The sequence below is a fragment of the Homo sapiens genome, chromosome 12 (genome assembly GCF_000001405.40).
Source record: "Homo sapiens chromosome 12, GRCh38.p14 Primary Assembly".
Lineage (NCBI taxonomy): Eukaryota > Metazoa > Chordata > Mammalia > Primates > Hominidae > Homo > Homo sapiens.
The window spans coordinates 19829894-19851028 of record NC_000012.12 but is presented as its reverse complement, the minus strand read 5'-3'; the positions used below and the strand labels follow the sequence as shown (position 1 = coordinate 19851028).

General features: G+C 39.4%; 1 long non-coding RNA gene across 1 annotated transcript; it reads left to right on the top strand.

The window, feature by feature from the left end:
• Positions 1-588: 588 nt before the first annotated feature.
• Positions 589-19499, top strand: LOC105369682 (uncharacterized). Its single transcript, XR_931409.3, has 4 exons — positions 589-1099; positions 6966-7043; positions 7245-7363; positions 19072-19499. It is a non-coding gene; the product is annotated as an uncharacterized LOC105369682 (long non-coding RNA).
• The last annotated feature ends 1636 nt before the right edge of the window (positions 19500-21135 follow it).

The window sequence follows — 21135 nt, the reverse complement described above, 5'->3', positions numbered from 1 at the left end:
TGAGTAGTTTCGTTCCACTTACTTTTTGAAAGTCAATTTTAACGGAAATATTACAAGATAAATATTAAGAGATTGCTTCAGGGCAGCCCGCCTCAGAAATCTGAAGCTGCCACTCTCAATATGTCAGACATTGCCCACTGTGATTTCGGAGCAGCCGCTGACTTTTTTTTGCAGCTGTTATGTACTGTACTGACATGGTTCATTGAGTGCCACAGAACAGCTTGTACATGTGCGTGTGTGTGTGCACGTGCATGTGCTTGTGTGAGCATACGTGTGTTCTGATACAAGATTTGAAACTGAATGGAAAACGATGAACTTCAAATAATAGCCCTAAGAAAAGATAAGCCTAACAAGGAATAGTCTGGTTCTTCTTGACTTAGAAATTTGCTATAACTGTTAAATTACACAGGGATCCAGATGAGCCAGCTCCCGAAACTAAACACACATATTTGGAATTGTTTTCCACAGTCTCCATGGCTACCCCTGGGGTTGCCTAGTCTTCTCAGAACCTTGTTTTCACACACATGAAGGAGTGCAACCACACCACCCACAGACTTCAAAATTTACACTGGCTCGTCATTCAGTTAAGGATCTTTCCTAAATTGCCTTCCTTGTTATTTTGAATTTTCTCCCTGACCTTCCTCCAGTTCCCTGAAATGGCTTCACCTCTGTCAGCTTCTCCCTCACTCTGTGGCTTCAGTATCAACCATCAAGTCCTGGAGAGGACTGGCTTCCTGTTCCACCAATAAATCCCTGTCAGCTGAGGCGGGTGCATAGCGAGAACTCTCCTTGCTGCCTTTTTTCCCAGCCCAATTCTTCCTGCTCATCCCTACCAAATTCTTTTTCTCCCAGAGAGGTTTTTATGACATCCTTGCTCCAAATCCATTTACAAGATTCAGTCCAAAATCATCAGCTGGATATAATGGACCCCCCACAATCTGGCATCTTAAACCTTATCTACTGCAATTGCTCTTGCACCTTGATTCCAGTTAGCAATGCCTGTTCTCTATTTTAAACAATGACTAATTTATCCAACTCTATTCATTTGCTCAAACTATTTTCTTGCCTACAATAGCCTCCCAACATTTTTCCACTCAATGTAAGTACAGTTAATGATTGTTATTTGTGGTAGTTATGTTCTATAAAGTCACCTTGGACACTTAATTAGTGAATACGAAAAAATTGCTCTTAGAGGAAATATAGGGTTAGGTTCCTTCCAGCCTCTGGTCACAACATTTTTGTCAGTTGATCAATACATAACCTTGTTTTATGTGTGTTTCTGTTTAACGACATCATATTTAACATATATAGTGTTATTTCATTAACGTTGGTCTTACAACCAACAGCACTGTGACCATGCCTGAATGAAGCTTATCTAACACAACATTTTCTCCACAAGACACATCATAGTCCCCTTGTGGTTAGGAACACTAGACAGCACTCCAACACTATGCTTGGGGGATGTTTAAACAGGGAAATCATCAACAAAAAGTACAAAAATGCTAAAAGTCTGGCACTAAGTAGACTGCAAGAAGGACACTTGTTTATAGCATGAGAACAGAAATAAGGCAGAGTGTCACCTTGTTTGGCCTCAGCTAGGAGTGTGCCCGTTGGGCGAGTGAACTCTTTCACCCCTCTGCATATGACCTCAAATGACTGCAAATGGATCACAAGTATTGATTTGAGGGTTGCAAATAAACATGAGCAGTTGGCAAATTTCAAGTAATGAAGATTAAGCATATTACCTATTTACTAAGGAGGCCCCAGAGCTGCAGAAATAGTCTTGGACTTTAAGTGAAAAACTTGGATGTGAGGACTCATTACTACCTGTGTGAAAGTTAGCCAGTATTTCCTCTCTCTCGAGGCCTAAGTTTCCTCAACTTTAAATGGCAGTAAAAACGTGAAACTCAAATAAGAGATGATGTATGTAAAATCCACGTTTCCATAAAGCACTATATGAATGTGAGGTGGTATGAAAGGCCCCTGTCTTCCACAAAAACTTTCATAATTACTCTAGCCTGTTTGATCTCTACCTCCCTTGAATTCAGAGCAATTATTACTTAAAATGCTAATTTGTCATTTAATTAGTCTTTTTCACATTTTGTACTTCCTCAATTTGTATGATTATTTAAATTTTTACTTCTCTAACAGATGATGAGTTTCTTGAGGACAAGGAACTGTTGTTTGCTTGTCTCTTCCACACCTGAGCAATTCTATTCATAAATGAATGCATAAATGCAAAGTCCATGTAAACCATTCCACAGACTTCTCTCGGAATCCTGATGACAGAAGAATGTGGTTTACAAATAAGCGGCATCCTTCATCATGCCAGGCTAGGGCTCTTAGCATCTAACTGGCAAGCAGTTAGACCATCAAACTTTTGAAAACTGCTTGCAAAAGAGCTTATCTTTCCCTGGAGATAATTACCTGGCACTGAACCAAAGCCACTTATATAAAAGTTAAGAAAGTTCAGTTAACTTTCTGATAGCTTGTATGCTTCAGCTTTTGATTTTTTAAGAGACAGGGGTCTATGCTATGTCATCCAGGCTGGAGTTGAACTTTTGGGCTCAAGTGATCTTCCCACCTCAGCCTCCCAAGTAGCTGGGACTACAGGCGTGCACCACCACACCTGGCTTGCTTCAGCTTTTAGACAGAGACCAACACCAATTTTGCTAACCTCAGAAGAGCAAATCTTCTCATAGTGCAGATGACCTAGAAAAACAACTGAGATTTTGCCCCTCATGAAATTGCTATGAAGTTTTTTTTTTTCAGATATTCAACATTCATTAAACTGCCTCTGATTTAAATTAATGTTTGGGTGTTAATTAGAGCCCAAACATCCTGATACTCTCCCCTTTCCTAATAATTTATGCCGTCTTCAACCCCTTCCAATTCCTATTTACAGCAGCCCACTTTCACATAATTCCATGATGGAAAAAGCTGGAGAGACAAAAGAGAGAGGTGATATTCAATGGAAAGCCATCAGTCTGGTATAATAGGGGAGGATCACATCACACGGATAGCTCGTGACATGATCTTGGCTGTTGGTCGATCCTTCTACTTTCTCAGTGATTTATTCAAGGGATCTGCTTTGTTTCACTTGCAAACTATTTTAACATTACTGTGGATAAACAGAGTGTCACCAGATTTCCCGTCTTTCCTGGGTCATTTTTCCTGGTTATATAAATGTTTGTCTTAATCCTCCTTCTTCCTCTGCACTTTTCAAAATGTTTTTTTATGCTTCTAGTCTGCACAGGGTCAGTGTGCTAATTACCAAATGAGACGAAGATGAAAGAGTCTCCACATTCACAGGCCAGATAGCTGGCTGTAGTCTTTAGGCAGCATCATATTTTTTAAATAACATTCATAGTTATCCATCCAGGCACCCTTCACCCTCACATGTTGTTTCAAATTGTTAACCGACAGCTCCAAATAGGCTCAGAGCAGAAAACTCCACGTCAAGGATCCAATAATGGCTGCTTCTGCTTTTGTGGTTTTCAGAAGTGGGGGAGGTGGCGGGCAGGTATGCTGATTTATCAGCATGTTTTCTTCATCTCTAAACTTGTACACTGGGGGAGAAGTCTAGGTTAAATGTGAACGCTTCACAGTTTTCCCACCATCTGAACTGTGTTATATTTGGCAAATAGTTTTCTGGAAGGGGAACAACGCGTTAAGCTCTGGCCATGACATAGTTTGTGATAAGCTTAACTGAATTCAAGAAGGAAAGGTCTATGCCAACTGTTCTTACACTCTTTCAATTTCTCAGGCATCCAGGGCAGAAAAATAAAACTCAAACAAAGCTTGAATATTTCAAAAGAAATTTGACATATTAACTGTATTAATTAATCCTGATACTGTTCTGAAACAACTTTAAAACTGTAAACAATCTTGATTATTTCCAGAGAGAAATATTTAGACTAAAATATTCACGATCAAAACTGGTTTAAAAATTCCACTAACTTGGGTTTTTAAAAATATTCCTTTCAACTCCAAAGTGGACAGAAAAAAAATAGGCCATTTTTTGCTGTAAATTAACATAGTGGAAATAATCACACACATTAAATTTCCTGTTTCTTTATGAGAACTGCTTATATTTTTGTGAGCTTCACTACCAGAACATTTCTATTTCAAGTGTTGAATGATAGAGACTAAAAATTCTATAACCTAAAATCTAGCAGCTTCCACGTTTTTCTCAACTAAGCACAGCATACCTTTTGCTGAGGGGAATAATTCTAGCGGTAAGGAGATGATTCATTCTTGAGCAACCAACCTCCACATTCCATTTTATCTTTAGTAAGGCTGACAGACAAATGATCTTTACTCAACCATGTTTAGTATATGGTTCAAAAAGAAAATACCTATAGAAACTTTTCAGGCCCACAGTCATGTTATCTCTAATGATTTTAGAGTATCTTAGAAGTAAGGCCAGATATCACAAAAACGACACAGGCCAGCTTACATAAATCAATTTTTTTTTTCATTTAGCATTACAGTTGCAGTGTTTGTTGCATAACAAAGAAACTCTCTTCTAGGTAGGTAAGTGGACAGATACCAACTCAGGTAGGACTTAAGAGGTGTAAGATATTGGAAGGGTGCGCATTAAAGTAAGTATGAAGGGAAAATGCCTTTGAGATTCTGATAAAAATTATGAACTTGGTTTCTTAAAAAGATGATTATATGTACAATTTGGCAAATGTGCAGAAGATTTTTTAGTTCATGAAACTCATCTATAGGATTGTAACAGTTTATAGACCTCATACTAAGAATCCCAGAATAAAGGCATTTTCCTCTAGTAAAAAGCAAATGTCTCTAATATCCAGAATCTACAAGGAACTGAAACAAATTTACAAGAAAAAAACAAACAACCCTATCAAAAAGTGGGCAAAGGATACGAACAGAAACTTCTCAAAAGAAGACATACGTGTGGCCAGCAAACATATGAAAAAAAGCTCATCATCACTGGTCATTAGAGAAACACCAATCAAAACCACAATGAGATACCATCTCATGCCAGTTAGAATGGCAATTATTAAAAAGTCAGGAAACTACAGATGCTGGAGAGACTGTGGAGAAATAGGAATGCTTTTACACTGTTGGTGGGAGGGTAAATTAGTTCAACCATTGTGGAAGACAGTGTGGTGATTCCTCAAGGAGCTAGAACCAGAAATTACCATTTGCCCCAGCAATCCCATTACTGGGTATATACCCAAAGGATTATAAATCATTCTACTACAAAGACACGTGCACAAGTATGTTTATTGCAGCACTATTTACAATAGCAAAGACTTGCAACCAACCCAAATGCCTATCAATGATAGACTGGATGAAGAAAATGTGGCACATATACACCATGGAATACTATGCAGCCATAAAAAAGAATGAGTTCATGTCCTTTGCAGGGACATGGATGAAGCTGGAAGCCATCATTTTCAGCAAACTAACACAGGAACAGAAAGCCAAACACTGTATGCTCTCACTCATAAGTGGGAGTTGAACAATGAGAACACATGGACACAGGGAGGGAAACATCACACACTGGGGCCCGTTGGTGGGTGGGGGGCAAGGGGAGGGATAGCATTAGAAGAAATACCTAATGCATGTGAGGCTTAAAACCTAGATGATACGTTGATAGGGGCACCAAACCACCATGGCACATGTATACCAATGTAGCAAACCTGCACGTTCTGCACGTGTACCCCAGAACTTAAAGTAAAATTAAAATAAAAAAGCAAATGCCACTGAATGAAACAACTTCAAATTGTTTGAATCATCTGTACATATTGATTGTCTTTCAATGAATTCTTATTAAGCACCTACCCTCACATAAAGCACTGTACAAAATGCTGTACACCCTTAGGCTGTCTCAGTGGAACCTCAACATCCAAAAGCAGGCTTGGATAAGAGGCAGTGTATTGCTTTACAGTAATGGAATTATTGTAACCAAAGGATTTTGTTGTTGTTTGTTCTTGTTGTTGTTATGCTCAAGTTTAATTTTTATACTTATTTTTTAAAGAAAGAATTCTTCAAGCCCAGAAAGCACGTTAACTTTTCATTATGAAATTACTCACTGACTCAGTCAAGAGAGCATTGTTATCAGTTATCCTTTTGTATTCATCAAGGTTCTCCACAGAAACAGAACCAATATTATATATATAGATATATCAAAAGAGAGGTATTATGAGGAGTTGGCTCATGAAATTACAGAGGCTGAGAAGTCCTACAAACTGCTATCTGCAAGCCAGAGGCCCAGGAAAGTCAATGGCGTAGTTCTGGTCCAAACTCAAAGGCCTAAGAACCAGAGGAGCCAATGTTCCATGTCCTAGCTTGAGTCCAAAGGCTCAAGAACCAGGAGTACCAATGTCCAAGGCCAGGAGAAGATGGATGTCCCAGCTCAGAGTAAATTCACTCTTCCTCTGCCTTTTTATCTAACCTGGCTCTTAGCAGATGAGATGATCACCACAAACATTGGTGAGAGGGATCCTTTTTTTTCCTTTTCTAATTTTAGGTTAAATTCACAAGGGGATGATCTTTACTCAGTCTCCTGGTTCAAATGCTGATCTCTTCCAGAAACACACTTACAGACATACCAGAAATAATGCTGTGTCAGCTCTCGGGGCATCCCTTAGCCCAGTCAAATTGTCACATAAAATTAAGCACCACAAAGTGTCTGCAAAAATCCTCACTGACTCAATGTGAGGAGCATTATTATCAGTTACCTATTCCAAAATCTGGGCTCAAACCTCATACAATATTGCCTTCAGCTATGCAATAGTACCCATAGTTCTGTTGGAAGCATAGTCAGAAAGAGGCTTTCAGAGTTTCACTTAGATCAGATGCTTGACTTCTGGTCCTGCAATACAAGCAATTTTAGAGAGCAATGCCTGTAAATGAAGGAAATGAAAAAGCTGCTGATTCCTAGCAGACTGCAAAACACAAATTTAACACTTAACATTAAAACCCTTTAGCTGAGAACTCCCAAGATTCCTTCAGCTGTTTCTACTACCTTTGGACATGGAATTTCAACATAAAAAAGCATTTTTCAGGTAGGTGGGTTTGAGCCCTGTCTCTACATACTATTTCTTGGCTCTGTAACCTCGGGCAAGACAGTCAACATTTCAAACCCCATAAGATCCCTATCATGGAGGCCCTGGTAAAGACTAACTCTTCTAAAGGGTTTAGTGCAGTACCTGACAAAGAGAAGCATTCTACAAATAGAACTCTTTTTCTTTTCTTTTTTGAGACAGAGTTTCACTCTTGTCGCCCAGGCTGGAGTGCAATGGTGCGATCTTGGCTCACTGCAACCTCCGCCTCCCAGGTTCAAGCAACTCTCCTGCCTCAGTCTCCCGAGTAGCTGGGATTACAGGTATGCACCACCACACTCGGCTAGTTTTGTATTTTTAGTAGAGACGGGGTTTCTCCATGTTGAGGCTAGTTTCAAACTCCTGACCTCAGGTGATCCGCCCACCTCGGCCTCTCAAAGTGCTATGATTACAGGTGTGAGCCACCGCACCCGGCCTAGAACTCTTTTTCTTGTCTTACATTACCCCCACCAATCTTTCCAACCTCTGAAATTTAGATAGGATCTGGCTCAGAAAAAAATAAAATTTGTTCAAAGTCACATAGCTAACATGTCTAGAAGCTCAAACTGGACACTAAGTCTCTTCATCCTTTATCAGCAAGCACGCTACTAAATACAATGTGGGTACATATAAACATGTGCACAGTCAACCCGTTCTAAACATTGCTGGCACTGTCATAAATAGAACAGGGTCTTTGTTTTCAGGATGGAAGAGGGTCCAATGAGAGAAACCTCAGACATGCACATGTTTATGTGTATAATGTAATTCTTCAGCAGTAAATACAAGCCCACGGGTCTCTAGGAGAAACAATGTGGAGGATTGGGTTGGCAACAGTTTTCCATAAACAGTGACACTTGATCTGAGCATCAAGGTACACTGAACACATCTGAAGTCAGAACACCAGGATAAAATTACTCAGTCACTTATAAGCAATGAAACTTTAAATTCCTTAATATTTTCCAAGTGATAGTTTTTCATTTGAAAAGTAGGGGTAATAACATCCACCTCACAGAATTGCTGTGAGGGTTAAATTAAGTAATTTTGGCTAAAGCCCTGATCATCATATAATTCATCGTCCAAACGAGGATCCATTTGAGAATATAAGAAGATACTATTAAAAATTACACCAGGACAAGGGGCATAAACCTAGGCACATGGTCACCCAATTTATCATGTTATCTAGTACAAAGATAATATTCAAAATATATCAGTTCTTTTCTTTGTTCCTGAGTCTTGAACAATGTAATTTCTCAGGCAGAGGAGAGGGGGAAAATACGTAACCGACAGAGGGAACTCAATGAACAAATGAGCATTCCAATATAAAATGTTATGAAAAGTTTCACCTCGTTTACACAATCACATAATTATAAAATATTACAGCGGGGAAGAATTGAGATGTTATTAATCCAAACACTTCATCTTAGAGCTTAAGGAAATGAATCTCCAAATGGTTAAATGACAGGGATATTTTGTTTCATAGCCAAGATCAGCACCTAGATTTTCTGACTGCTCACGCAGGGACCTCACCATCCCTCATGTCTAAGAAAGATTTCTCCTAAACCAGAGCTGTTATAGAAATGAAAGCAAATCCGTAACTCTCCTCAATAGCTTATCTCACAGTTCTTAAATTCTTACTGATTCAATTCAACCAACTGCAATTCCAACTAGTACTGTCTTTGGGGACGATGAGTAAAACTAGCAGCTCCCTTAGCCAAAGAAAAGGAGTGATTTTACTCTCCTATCTGTTATTTATTGTTACATTATGAATGAACAAATATGTTCTTCCTCATTTATGTAACATATTTCCTTTGAATTTGGAGATGTCATTTGTAAAATATATTTAATAGAGCAAACAGTTTAAAAACAGAAGTTCAAAAATAATGCACTTCACATTGAACTAGTTCTTCCAACTGATGAAATAACTCTCTAGGTCAGAAATTATTAATATTTTTTCTGCACAGCATGAGTGAACTAGCAGATATACATCATCATCATTAACAGTGGTTCTCAAAAGGGGATGGAGGATAGAAGAATTTTGGGGAGATGTGTATAATTTTTTCTCAAAGGTCCCCAAATTATTCTGATACTCTCCTGATATCCTCCCTACATCCCCCCAACACACACATACCCCAAGCCATTTTTCATAATTCTGGAAGTAAGTTGAACATTAAGAATGTTTCCACCTGAAAAATAAGTTGGAGAGAGAGAGATTTCCATCTGTGTTTTGTTGGATCATTGAGACCTTGCTCAATAGTTTCCTCTCTAAAAGTTTTACAGTCTCATCCTCCAAGCAGTTAATTACTCAGTCTCCTGTGATCCAAGAGCATTTGCATTCACCCCTATTACTGGCTCAGCCATCCTATCATAAAAATTGCTCAGGTCTTTCTGCCCAGTAGATTGCTACCCAGAGATATGTACTGGGCTACATATTGCTCTGTAAACTCAGTCACAGCCTGGCACATAGTAGGAGCCCAAATAATCTCCCATTGAAGGAATTATACCAGGTGCCTAGGAAACAATACACTAATACAGAATAATACTTAGGAATGTTTTTAGCACAAAAGAGATGGTTTGTGTATAAACACTGTAAGTCCTTTGGAAGATAGTGCAAAACTACAAGATACAATTCTCTATGGTATGGCAAATTGCTACACTGCTTTCTTTAAACGGTACTTAGTGGCCTAGAAGCTAATGTCTCTCCCAAAATGCCTGGCCCCTAGAGAGTCACTTAATGTAGCTAGAAGCATTTGAGTTATTTCATTACATGAAATCATTTTGGTTTTAAAAGTGCTGCACACGAGTATTTCTTATCTTACTGAGCTCATTATTTGTAACCTCGGGGAAATGATTTTAAAAAAAAACTTGTATGATAGAGAAATGAGAGAGAGAGAGACCAAGAAAGAGAGAGAGAGAGAGAGAAAGCTACGGTCTGTGAAAGAAAATGTTTAGGAGGTAGAGTGGGAATGAGGGACTACCCAAATCCAGCCTATTAAATTAACCACATGAAGATTCTAGGCTCTCAGGCCTTGAGAGAATGCCTGAGACTCAAGAAAAATTTAACTAAATATGTATATTATTGGCTTTCATAAACATGCTTTCTGGTTTACAGAAGTGACAAATAATTGCTAGATGATGTGGACAAAGAAAGGACTATGATATACACAAAGTTTAAATTTCACTTACATGATTTCTCACAGAGTATAAAAAGTTGTCAAATTCGGTAAAATAATTGCTGGATTTTAGGTCCTATAGCTGTTTTATTTTCCTTATGGTCAAACTGAGTGGACATAGTCATTCAGCTGTTGGTGTACTGATATTAATTTCTTAAAATCCTTTATAACTGTGTTGTGCAAAAATAAATAGCAAGCAAACTTCCTTGTGCTATCAGTAGAGGTTTAAATTCAAAAACTTGTTCTTCAAAGCACCAAATGTAGTCACTGATGTCACAAGTTAATAAAAGGATTTTAGTATCACGTCCAATACTACCACCACCTCCAGAAAATAAAAAATAAAAGCACATTTTCAATCTATTGGTTGATTCATACACCAACATATTCATTTTATCACTGAATGTGTTTGTTCCAAACTGTCTCTCAGAGTTTTATGAGTCTTAAATGCACATTTCAAGATGTGTAATCTGAATTATAAACATTCAGGCAGTATACTCATATATTATTAATTGCTTTTTTTTGTTGTTTTTTTTTTTTTTTGAGACACAGTCACTCTGTCATCCAGGCTGGAGTGCAGTGACATGATCTCAGCTGACTGCAGCCTCCATCTCCATCTCCCGGGTTCAAGCAATTCTCCTGCCTCAGCCTCCCAAGTAGCTGGGACTACAGGTACCCGCCACCACACCCGGCTAATTTTTGTATTTTTAGTAGAGACGGGGTTTCACCACGTTGGCCAGGCTGGTCTTGAACTCCTGACTTCAAATGATCCACCCTGGCCTCCCAAAGTGCTGGGATTTACAGGCGTGAACCACCATGCCTGGCCTTATTAATTCCTTATTAAAGAGATACCTGAAGAGTATCCCTATGTTATCAATGACTTCCACTGATATCATCAGCAAGCAATTATTGAGCTGCTATTGTATCTAATTGGGCTACTAGTTGCTATAAGTAACTGTGAAACTTGATTTTAGCCTCAAGGAGTTTCCGTCACTATCTATCTTAAAGAAAGAAATGTAGGGCAGAGGAATTAAAATACTTGAGCCTGTTTGTCCTAAGAAGAAGGAATCTTTTATCTTATGTTAACATTTTAAAATATACTCAGTCTCCCTGTTGATGACCCTATGAGTTTACGTTTTTTTCTCTTTTTTATTTTAGTGACTATTATATAAATATGAAACTAGTAATCTATTGCATACAAACTTCTATATATAATGATGGATTCTCCAGGGAGCTGAATAATGGTACAAACATTTTCAGGCTTTAGAACATAGATCATATGTTCTATTGGCTGCAGAGAGATATTTTGCCTTTCAAGCTGTGGATTTTTATTTTTAATTCAACATTGTGTCTCCCACCATCTGCCTACTATATTGTTGTAAGCACTGCAGTTTTTTTGTTTTTGTTTTTGTTTTTCTTGAGATGGAGTTTTGCTCTTGTTGTCCAGGCTGGAGTGTAATGGCACAATCTCAGCTCATCGCAACCTCCGCCTCCCGTGTTCAAGCAATGCTCCTGCCTCAGCCTCCCAAGTAGCTGAGATTACAGGCATGTGCCACCATGCCCGGCTAATTTTGTATTTTTAGTAGAGATGGGGTTTCTCCATGTTGGTCAGGCTGGTCTTAAACTCCCGACCTCAGGTCTGCCCACCTCGGCCTCCCAAAGTGCTGGGATTACAGGCACAAGTCACCATGCCCGGTCAGCACTGCAGATTTTTTAAAATACGAGTATGTTCCCTGCCCTCAAGAAATCACAGGCTTCAGAAGGCTAATAAATAATAATAGTCTAAAGAAGTTGGCAAAGACCAAACTTCATGCCTTTTTATGCTCTTCTATTTCTTTCTCAGAGAACGGCCCCATCATCTACTCAGCCATCCCAAGAATTACTGTAGACTCATTCCTCTCCTTTAATCCAAACATTTAAACAGAGTGCAAGCTCTATTAAGTCCACCTTCTTAATTCCTCTTGAAGCAATTTCTACTACAACGGCCATGTCTCAGATCTGCTTCTCTATCCACCTGGAATGGTGCAATAATCCCTGTATTTATCAGAATTGTTTTAGTAGGAAGGAACAGAAACCTAACTCAATATAGCCTAAGGAAACAATCGGGAAGGGAGAAAATTTTCTGAAAGAAGGAAAGTTGGGTAGTCCATAAAACGAAAAGAATAACTGTGGGATCCAGTGCAATTAAGCACACAGTGCCTAGTAACCAGGACTCTCTCCACCTGCCGTCTCTGTTTCAATAAGGACTACGGTGTTTTTCTGTCCTACTGCAATCAGTTTACCTGGGCATCAGGAAAGAAGGCTGTCCTAGGCTGCAGAGTCCTCTCCCACATCCTCCAAAATTAACGTCTACCCAGAACCTGTAAATGTAACCTTAATTTGAAATAGTGTCTTTGCAGAGATAATCAAGTTAAGATGAGATCATACTAACTTAGGATGGGCCCTAATTCAGTGACTGGTATTCTTCTAAGAAGAGGGAAATTTTGGACAAAGAGACATCCGGGAAGAAGATGGCCATGTGACAATGAAGGCAGATATTGGAGTGATGCATCTAGAAGTCAAGAAATGCTAAAGATCGAAGGGAACCCACCAAGCTGGAAGATACAAAGAAGAATCCTCTTCTGCAACCTTCAGAGCACCACCCTGCTGACACCTTCATTTTGAACTTCTAGCCTCCAGAACTACGAGAGAATAAATTTCTATTTTAGAAGCCACCCAGTTTGTGGTATTTATTTCCTAATGCCATAAGAAACCAATATAACAGCCAGAGGAAGACCCAGGTATTCGTCATTTCAGTTTAGAAATCCTAAAAGAAAGAGAATGCCTCTGTCTTCCATATAAGCATATTTTAAAATCCTAACCTCAGAATTTGATGGACCTAACTGCAGTCACACACTGTTGCTTGGACAGATCAGAGTGCCTAGGGATGGGACACCATCACTGCCCATGCCTAGGAAATGTATGCCTCTCTCTGACTGCAGAGTCAGGAGTAGGGAACTGTGACTGGAAGTTTTCCCAAAAAATCAACTGGAGTAGGAGAGGAGCAGTTACTAAGCCAAAAAGGGAAGGGTTCTGATACCAAAACGAGGCAGGATGCCAAGCAAACAAACTGACATCAACTATGGCCTCATAGGTTCTCTCTCCGCATCTTACCTTGTCCCCCGACTAGTCCACTGCCAAGGCTCTGCTGGACTAGTCTTCCCCAAAGGCATCTCTCACCATATGGCCTCCTCAAAATCTGTTAACAGTTCCCTTCAATTTTTAGAGCAATAGATATCATTATCTTGCTCCTGACTCCTGTGCCACCCCCAACACTCCCCACACTTCCAGCCAGAACAAACCTCTCACAGTTGCCGCCACACTCCAGGAAATTTCAAACTTCCATCTCCTTGCTCCTTCCTGGAAGTTTCTTTCTACTTTCCCCACTTTGTTCATTCCTGTTCATCCTTTTCATTATTATTATTATACTTTAAGTTCTAGGTACATGTGCACAATGTGCAGGTGTGTTACATACGTATACATGTGCCATGTTGGTTTGCTGCACCCATTAACTCCTCATTTACATTAAGTATTTCTCCTAATGCTATCCCTCCCCCTGCCCCCCCACCCCACGACAGGCCCCAGGGTGTGATGTTCCCTGAGAACTAGAAATACCATTTAATCCCGTTACTGGGTATATACCCAAAGGATTATAAATCATGCTGCTATAAAGACACATGCACACGTATGTTTATTGCGGCACTATTTACACTAGAAAAGACTTGGAACCAACCCAAATGTCCATCAATGATAGACTGGATTAAGAAAATGTGGCACATACACACCATGGAATACTATGCAGCCATAAAAAAGGTTGAGTTCATGTCCTTTGCAGGGACATGGATGCAGCTGGAAACCATCATTCTGAGCAAACTATCATAAGGACAGAAAACCAAACGTCGCATATTCTTACTCATAGGTAGGAACTGAACAATGAGAACCCCTGTTCATCCTTTTAAGATTGCACTCAACTATCAGTAGTAACTGCTTCTCTACTCATCACCTTGAAAGAGGAAAGATTCCCTTGTCCCCCTCGCGGGGCTGCAAAGGGGCTGTGGCTCACTTCTTCAGTGCCCCGCTGCTCAAACCTCTAGGGGAGTATACAGACAGGCAGGTTGTGGGGCTCCGACCGCCACAGTGTCTAGGGGTGAATGTTTACAGCTCCTGAAGCCCCAGTGCCCATGTATTACAGGGTGCTTAGTTTAGCGGTTAGTAAGCCCGATTAGACCCTCTGCCTGGTCACAAGGACAGAGGGTTTTCTGTATCCTGGGTTCTTACCTTGGTGAACCGGAAGAATCGGATCACACGTGGGCTTGGAGGATAAGTGCAAAGTTTTACTGAATGGCAGTAGTTCTCCCAGGATGGGGAAGCCAGAAGTGAGATGGTCTTCCCCTGGAGTTGGGCTGCTCGGCAGCCCCAGGTTCTCCTCTGACTGCCCCAGCCTCCGCATCTTCCGCCAGTGGATGGCCTGTTGGCCCGCCTGTGCCTGCCATGCTCTTCTGCCAGCAGGCTCTCAAGGACCGGCCGCTTGTGTCTGCTTCAGCCGATGTGCTCCCATCGACGTCTGGCTGCCTGTGTGTCTGCGCACTAGGGTCTCGGGTTTTTATAGGACCAGGATGGGGACATGGTAGGCCAGGGTGGTCTTAGGAAATGCCTGTCCTCAACTAGGTCTGTAGGGGTAGAGACCTAGCCAGGGACCACGCCCTCCTCTACCCAGCTCGTCCCTTCCCCCCTTAGGTATCATTTAAAGGCAATACGCTCTTCCTTTCCCAGCACTTCCCTATCAACCTCACCTTCTAGATTCGTATCTCTCATCTGTAATACAAGAACAGGAATTATTAATTTCCAGGAGAAACCCCTTCAAACCTCAGTGTGCTTCTCCAATAATTGAAGGGTGGATTTCTGATTTCTTTTATGAGGCCCATGGAGCTGACAAGAACCACAGAAATACATCAAATGACTTTTGGCAAAATTATCTTTCTCTGTCAATAAGATACTGTCTAATTCTGAAATCCTAGACTTGCTATAAGTCAAAAATTTGGAAGCTAGGAAAACTTGTTATGCAATAGATAAAATAAATGCTGCTATAAATCAAATAAAAGTAAATCAATTATTAATTCAAAAACTAATAGAAAGAGAAAAGGAAGATACAATCTACAGATATGATTAGAGAATTATTGTGAAAAGCCTGAGCACCTCTTGGATACCTAATCTCATTCTAGGATCTGGAAATCCCATCTAGCTCATCCCATCAGCATTATCATAAAATTCAAATCTGATAGGAAAAAAATAGCACATTAAGCTAGGATCATTGATTTATACCTCAGCACTTATTGTAATGCTCAATACAGTAATATAGTAAATAATATAAGCTCTAGACTCAAACTAGTTTGGTTCAAATCTATGTTCTGCCATGACGATATGTGGCCCGGGGGAGCTTATTCAAACTCCTAAATATTTCTCTCCTGTAAAAGTGACATGAAAATACTACCTCTTCATAGAACCCAAGCACTTACAACAGTAGTTGACATATAGTAAGGGTTCGGTAAATCTTTGGATTACATTCTCTCCAGTCTTTTAGCAGGACCATAAAGAATAAAGGAAAGCCAAGGGAGAGGATACAAAGAGCATGGGGCAGACCTCATGCAAGACAGGGGCTGGTAAAATAGTTAGTGAGAAGGAGGGCATAGATGCTGAACCTGGGCTCTGGAGGCATCCTTGTTTTAGCAGGGGCTGTTATTAATCGGAAGCAAGCAGAATGACAGAGGTCTCAGTTATTTATTCAGTGCCAGTCATTTCTCTGTGATGGCCTTTCTCAAATTAGAAGCTCCTTTGGATGAGTCTGAAAGTAGAATTCTACCTTCAGATTTTTCACTGTTTCTCCACTCTTCTGGTAGGAAGGGGAGGAAGGGGAAACTTTCAGTGATGCAATTCATAGATGCTCTAGAATCCAGGAAGAAAAAAAAAAAGTTCTTGCTGGGATGTGGCAATTCACCTCACTGCCCTGCACAGAATGGTGTGAGGGACAACTAGTTGTGGCTTTAAAGAAATCACTTTTGAGTAGAATGTATATTTTTGTTGTATTTTTTGTGGTTTTTTTTTAGAATCCTCCACAGCAACATACAAGACCATGGAGTTAAAGAAACCCAGAGAAATTCATCAATTAATCGTCCTGTTTGTGAATTTGTATAAATAATAACAAAGATCTTCTTAAAATGTTTATTTCTTACTACCATAAAAGGTTGAACTGGTATTTATATAATAAAAGAGGAAATATGAGTACATTTTTGGGGAAAAAAAAAACCAGCCTTGTATCTGCAAATTATTTTTAAGGCATTGTGTGCTTGGGTACACACCAAGGTAGGAGGTGCTGTTGTATACTCTAAAGTTAAAGAGGACACAAGGTAGGGTTTGGTGCATCCTGTCTGGTGGGTGACTCAGCTCACGGGTAAAATTTTATTCTGCATAAGATTTACTACTGACACATGTTTTGTTTCTAGAAATGTGATTAGACTGGAGATTTATAAATTTTTTGGCTTTAAACTGTCAACATGGAAATTTAGAGAAAATGAAACTTAAAAAAAGATTTGTATGTAAATCACAAAGAAAGTTTTAAATGACAGTTATGAAAACAAAACCACAAAAACTGTTAAGAGATGTCATTTTAGACATGCTTAGTATATTAGTCAAGGTTCCCTAGAAAAATGGAACCGTGTGTGTGTGGGTGTGGGTGTGTGTGTGTGTGTATGTGTGTGTGGAGAGAATGACTGATTTTTAAGGAGTTGGCTCTCACCCTTGTAGGAGCCAGTAAGTTCAAAATCTACAGGGTAAACCAGTAGACTGAAGCCCCAGGGGAGAGTTGATATTGCAACTTGAATCTCAAAGCAGTCTGTTGGCAGAATTCCTCTTCCCTGGGAGAGGTCAGTCTTTTTCTCTTGAGGCCTTCAAGTGACTGAAAGAGGCCCACCTACATTATGGAGGGCCAACTGCTTTACTCAAAGTCTGCTGATTTAAATGTTAATCTCATGTAACAGATACCTTCACAACAACCTCCAGACCAGTGTTTGACCAAATATCTGGGTACTGTGGCCTAGCCAAGCTGACATAAAATTAATCGTCATTGTTATTAGTCTTCCTTTCCCAGTTCCCAAGGAAATGTCATCACTTAAACTAACTGGATACTACAGATACTAGTTAGGTTAGAGTTTCCTCTCTTTCTCTGAAAAATATATATATATAAAATAACTTTTCAACTATAAATTTTTGGGTTTTTTGCACTCTCCTTTGTAAAAATAAGGCCCACAGCCTCAAATCCTCTGAATCCAATATCACTAGGTTTCAGACTCCGTGTGCACCTTAGGACATACTATGGAGAACCATGCCCCAGAGTCATCTCCTGAACATTGGTGTGGATTTTTATTACTCAGTTACTTAAAATAAAGTCAAAGGATGCAAATGGAATTTGACACATTATTGCCCTTAACTCATACTGAACTTAATACACTGTGATGTGAAGCACAAACGAATGCAAAACAATATGCACTAAGACCACAGAATGGATTAGGTGAATTTAAAGTCACAGTCTATATAATATTAATGCCAAGGTGAGCAATGCACTATATTTGCTTTTACATTGCCTACAGTGTCTTGCATGCCACCAATACAAATTTTTTAATCGCCTAAAAATTCGACTGGAGAATTTGTTCTAAAATCTTTCATAGTCCCACAATATTTTATGTCAGCATCACCAAGTCCTACACTACTGGGTGCCAATTACTTCTCATGTTTGTCTGCATGCTGTGTCCATGCCCTTTTCACAAAGGATTTCAATCATTTTAGAAAGACAAGAAAAAAATGTAATGCATTATTCCCTGAATTACCAGAATGTGCATACTGTGCTAGGTCCTAGAACCCACTGATGGATAATACACATTTTAAAACCTCTACCAGGATTTGGAGAAATAGGAACATTTTTACACTGTTGGTGGCAGTGTAAATTAGTTCAACCATTGTGGAAGACAGTATGGCGATTCCTCAAGGATCTAGAACCAGAAATACCACTTGACCCAGCAATCCCATTACTAGGTATATGCCCAAAGGATTATGAGTTATTCTACTATAAAGACACATGCACACGTATGTTTATTGCAGCGCTATTTACAATAGCAAAGACTTGAAGCCAATCCAAATGCCCATCAGTGACAGACTGGATAAAGAAAATGTGGCACATATACACCATGGAATATTATGCAGCCATAAAAAAGAATGAGTTCATATCCTTTGCAGGGACATGGATGAAGCTGGAAACCACCATTCTCAGCAAACTAACACAGGAGCAGAAAACCAAACACCACATGTTCTCACTCATAAGTGGGAGTTGAACAATGAGAACCCATGGGCACAGGGAGGGCAACATCACACACCAGGGCCTGTCGGGGGATGGGGGGCAAGGGGAGGGATAGCATTAGGACAAATACCTAATGCATGTGGGACTTAAAACCTAGATGACGGATTGATAGGGGCAGCAAACCACCATGGCACATGTATACCAATGCAACAATCCTGCATGTTCTGCACATGTATCCCAGAAGTTAAAGTAAAATTTAAAAAAGAAAAGAAAAGAAAAACAAACAAACAAAAACCTCTACCAGCCTATAGGATACTGGGGAGAGAAAAGCCCTCCAGAGCTTACAGACTAATATAAAAAGAAAAATAAGTATTTAATTATAGTTTGGCGTGTGCTTTTCAGAAAATAGACAAGTAAGTACTTTTCCTTAAATCTACAGGTTATCATGAGAGTGAGCCAAGGAGGAACAACTAGAGGATGGAGTGGAGGATCAGACAAAGCTTACCCAAGAAGTAAGATAAAGGCTGAGAAGCTGAGGCTTGAGAAGACTTTAGGCAGGGTAATAGTAAAAGAAGGATCATTCCTGGGACAAAGAACATAATGGTGCAAAGGTCTTTACCTAAGAAGCATCAGTACAAGTACTAGGGACAGAGGGGGTAGAAGTGAGACAGAGAGTGGCTGGACAAAACAGGGTTCCATCAAGCCAGGCCTCACTGGGCCATCTTAACCTAAAAATGCAGCTGAGGCCTGGAAGAGCCATGTAAGCTGGAACATCTAAAAAAGCTTTTTCCCTCCATTCATTTAAGAGGCTTAAGTCATTTGGAAAAAACATGTATCCTAAAATATCAATAAATTATATGCAACTTCTCTCCCTTTATACTGGAAGTCCTAGATCTACAGATATAATCTAAGTATCTGTGCTTAAATCATTGAAAGCACATTTATAGAACACTATTTTTAGAAAACTAAATATTCTCTCTTAACTATAGTATAAGTTTGTGGCTATTACCTCTAGCAAATCTTGAGAAACGTAGGAAGAAGGTCATAGAAGTTTTCAAATGCAACAAAATGCATTTCAACAAAATACTGAAGTTTGAGTAAAATACAAGACAGAAAAATTTAATCATACTAATGGAGTCGATAATGAGTTTTCTGCTGTAATATCTGAAAGCACACTTTAGTCTAAAATAAAGAACGTTACTTTTTTCCACTTATTGAAGTTTATTAGGTATAAAGAAATGAATCTGCAGATAGTCATAATTCAATAAAAAATGCAAGTGAAATACGGGAGGAATTGCAGACTATAGTGTCAGTGAGAATATGTGAGGGATGTTCGGAACACTGCAACCCAGATGCCCCTATATATGAATTCATGGGTACAGAGCTAAACCATAATGCTGTCAGAGGGAACTTAGTACACTGAATATCTGCTTGAATGGTAGCAAATTCAGTGATGTATCTTTAGAAAAGCTATGATGCCAGATTCCTAAGCCATCGCCCTAATTGTGGTTTTTGCTTTTTGCTCATTTCTTCCCTCTATCATTGAGAATCAAGGAGCCCTGTTATCTAAACGCAAGCGATTAGTGCTTATTTATTACTCTCTGTTGCCTTGGATGTGAATGTCTTCATTTTTCTAAGTTGAGACTGAGAACTGCACCATATAAATCAACATATGCATTGAAATTCTGAAACTAGAAGTGGGGAGTGAGGGTTAGTTTCTCACCAGAAAATGACCTCCAAGGTCTCTCTTTGAGTCTTAAGATGCTAGGACATGATCCATTTGTTGTACATCTATCATAAACAAGGGCTAAGGTCAAGGCTGCAATAACAAGAAGCACTGTTCTAGGTCAGACACTAAAATGGTGGGGGGGACAAATGTGTTCTCAGCATCTTAACAGCTGATAAAATTCAACATATGTCTTATGAGTGAATCATAACAATGAAAGGAAAATTAATTTTAAAACTCAAAATGGAATTGGGATGGGGGGGGAAACCCCATTTGGGAGACAAAAAATCAACCCCAACTGTCAGGAAACCATAAATTAGCAAAGGAGAGAGAGAAACAAGCTACTTTTTTACTATGAAAGGAAGTTAAATAGCTACATTTCCTTCAAACCAGGAACAGATTTGAGCAGTTATAATTTGCCAGGATGAGTGGGCCACCTAAATTACCTAGTTGGATGAGGGTCATTTGATCAGAGTAACTATGATCGCATTAACTCCATGTAATTCTCCAACCAAAACAAATCAACTCAGAATTTTTCAGTGGTCTTAGCTGATGACAGTATTGTTTGTCTTTAACATACTACTTCTTGAGCACTTGAAAATGTAACCAACAACACAAAAAGTAAAATAAAAAGCACATTTTCTGTAGCATTTTAAAACTACAGAAGATCTTTTAAAGGCCTTGGATATTCTAAAATAAGTAGCAATACATTTGGAAAGAAAAAAACCATAACAAAATTCAGACCAGCAACCCAGAAGAATACAGAAAAAAAAAACT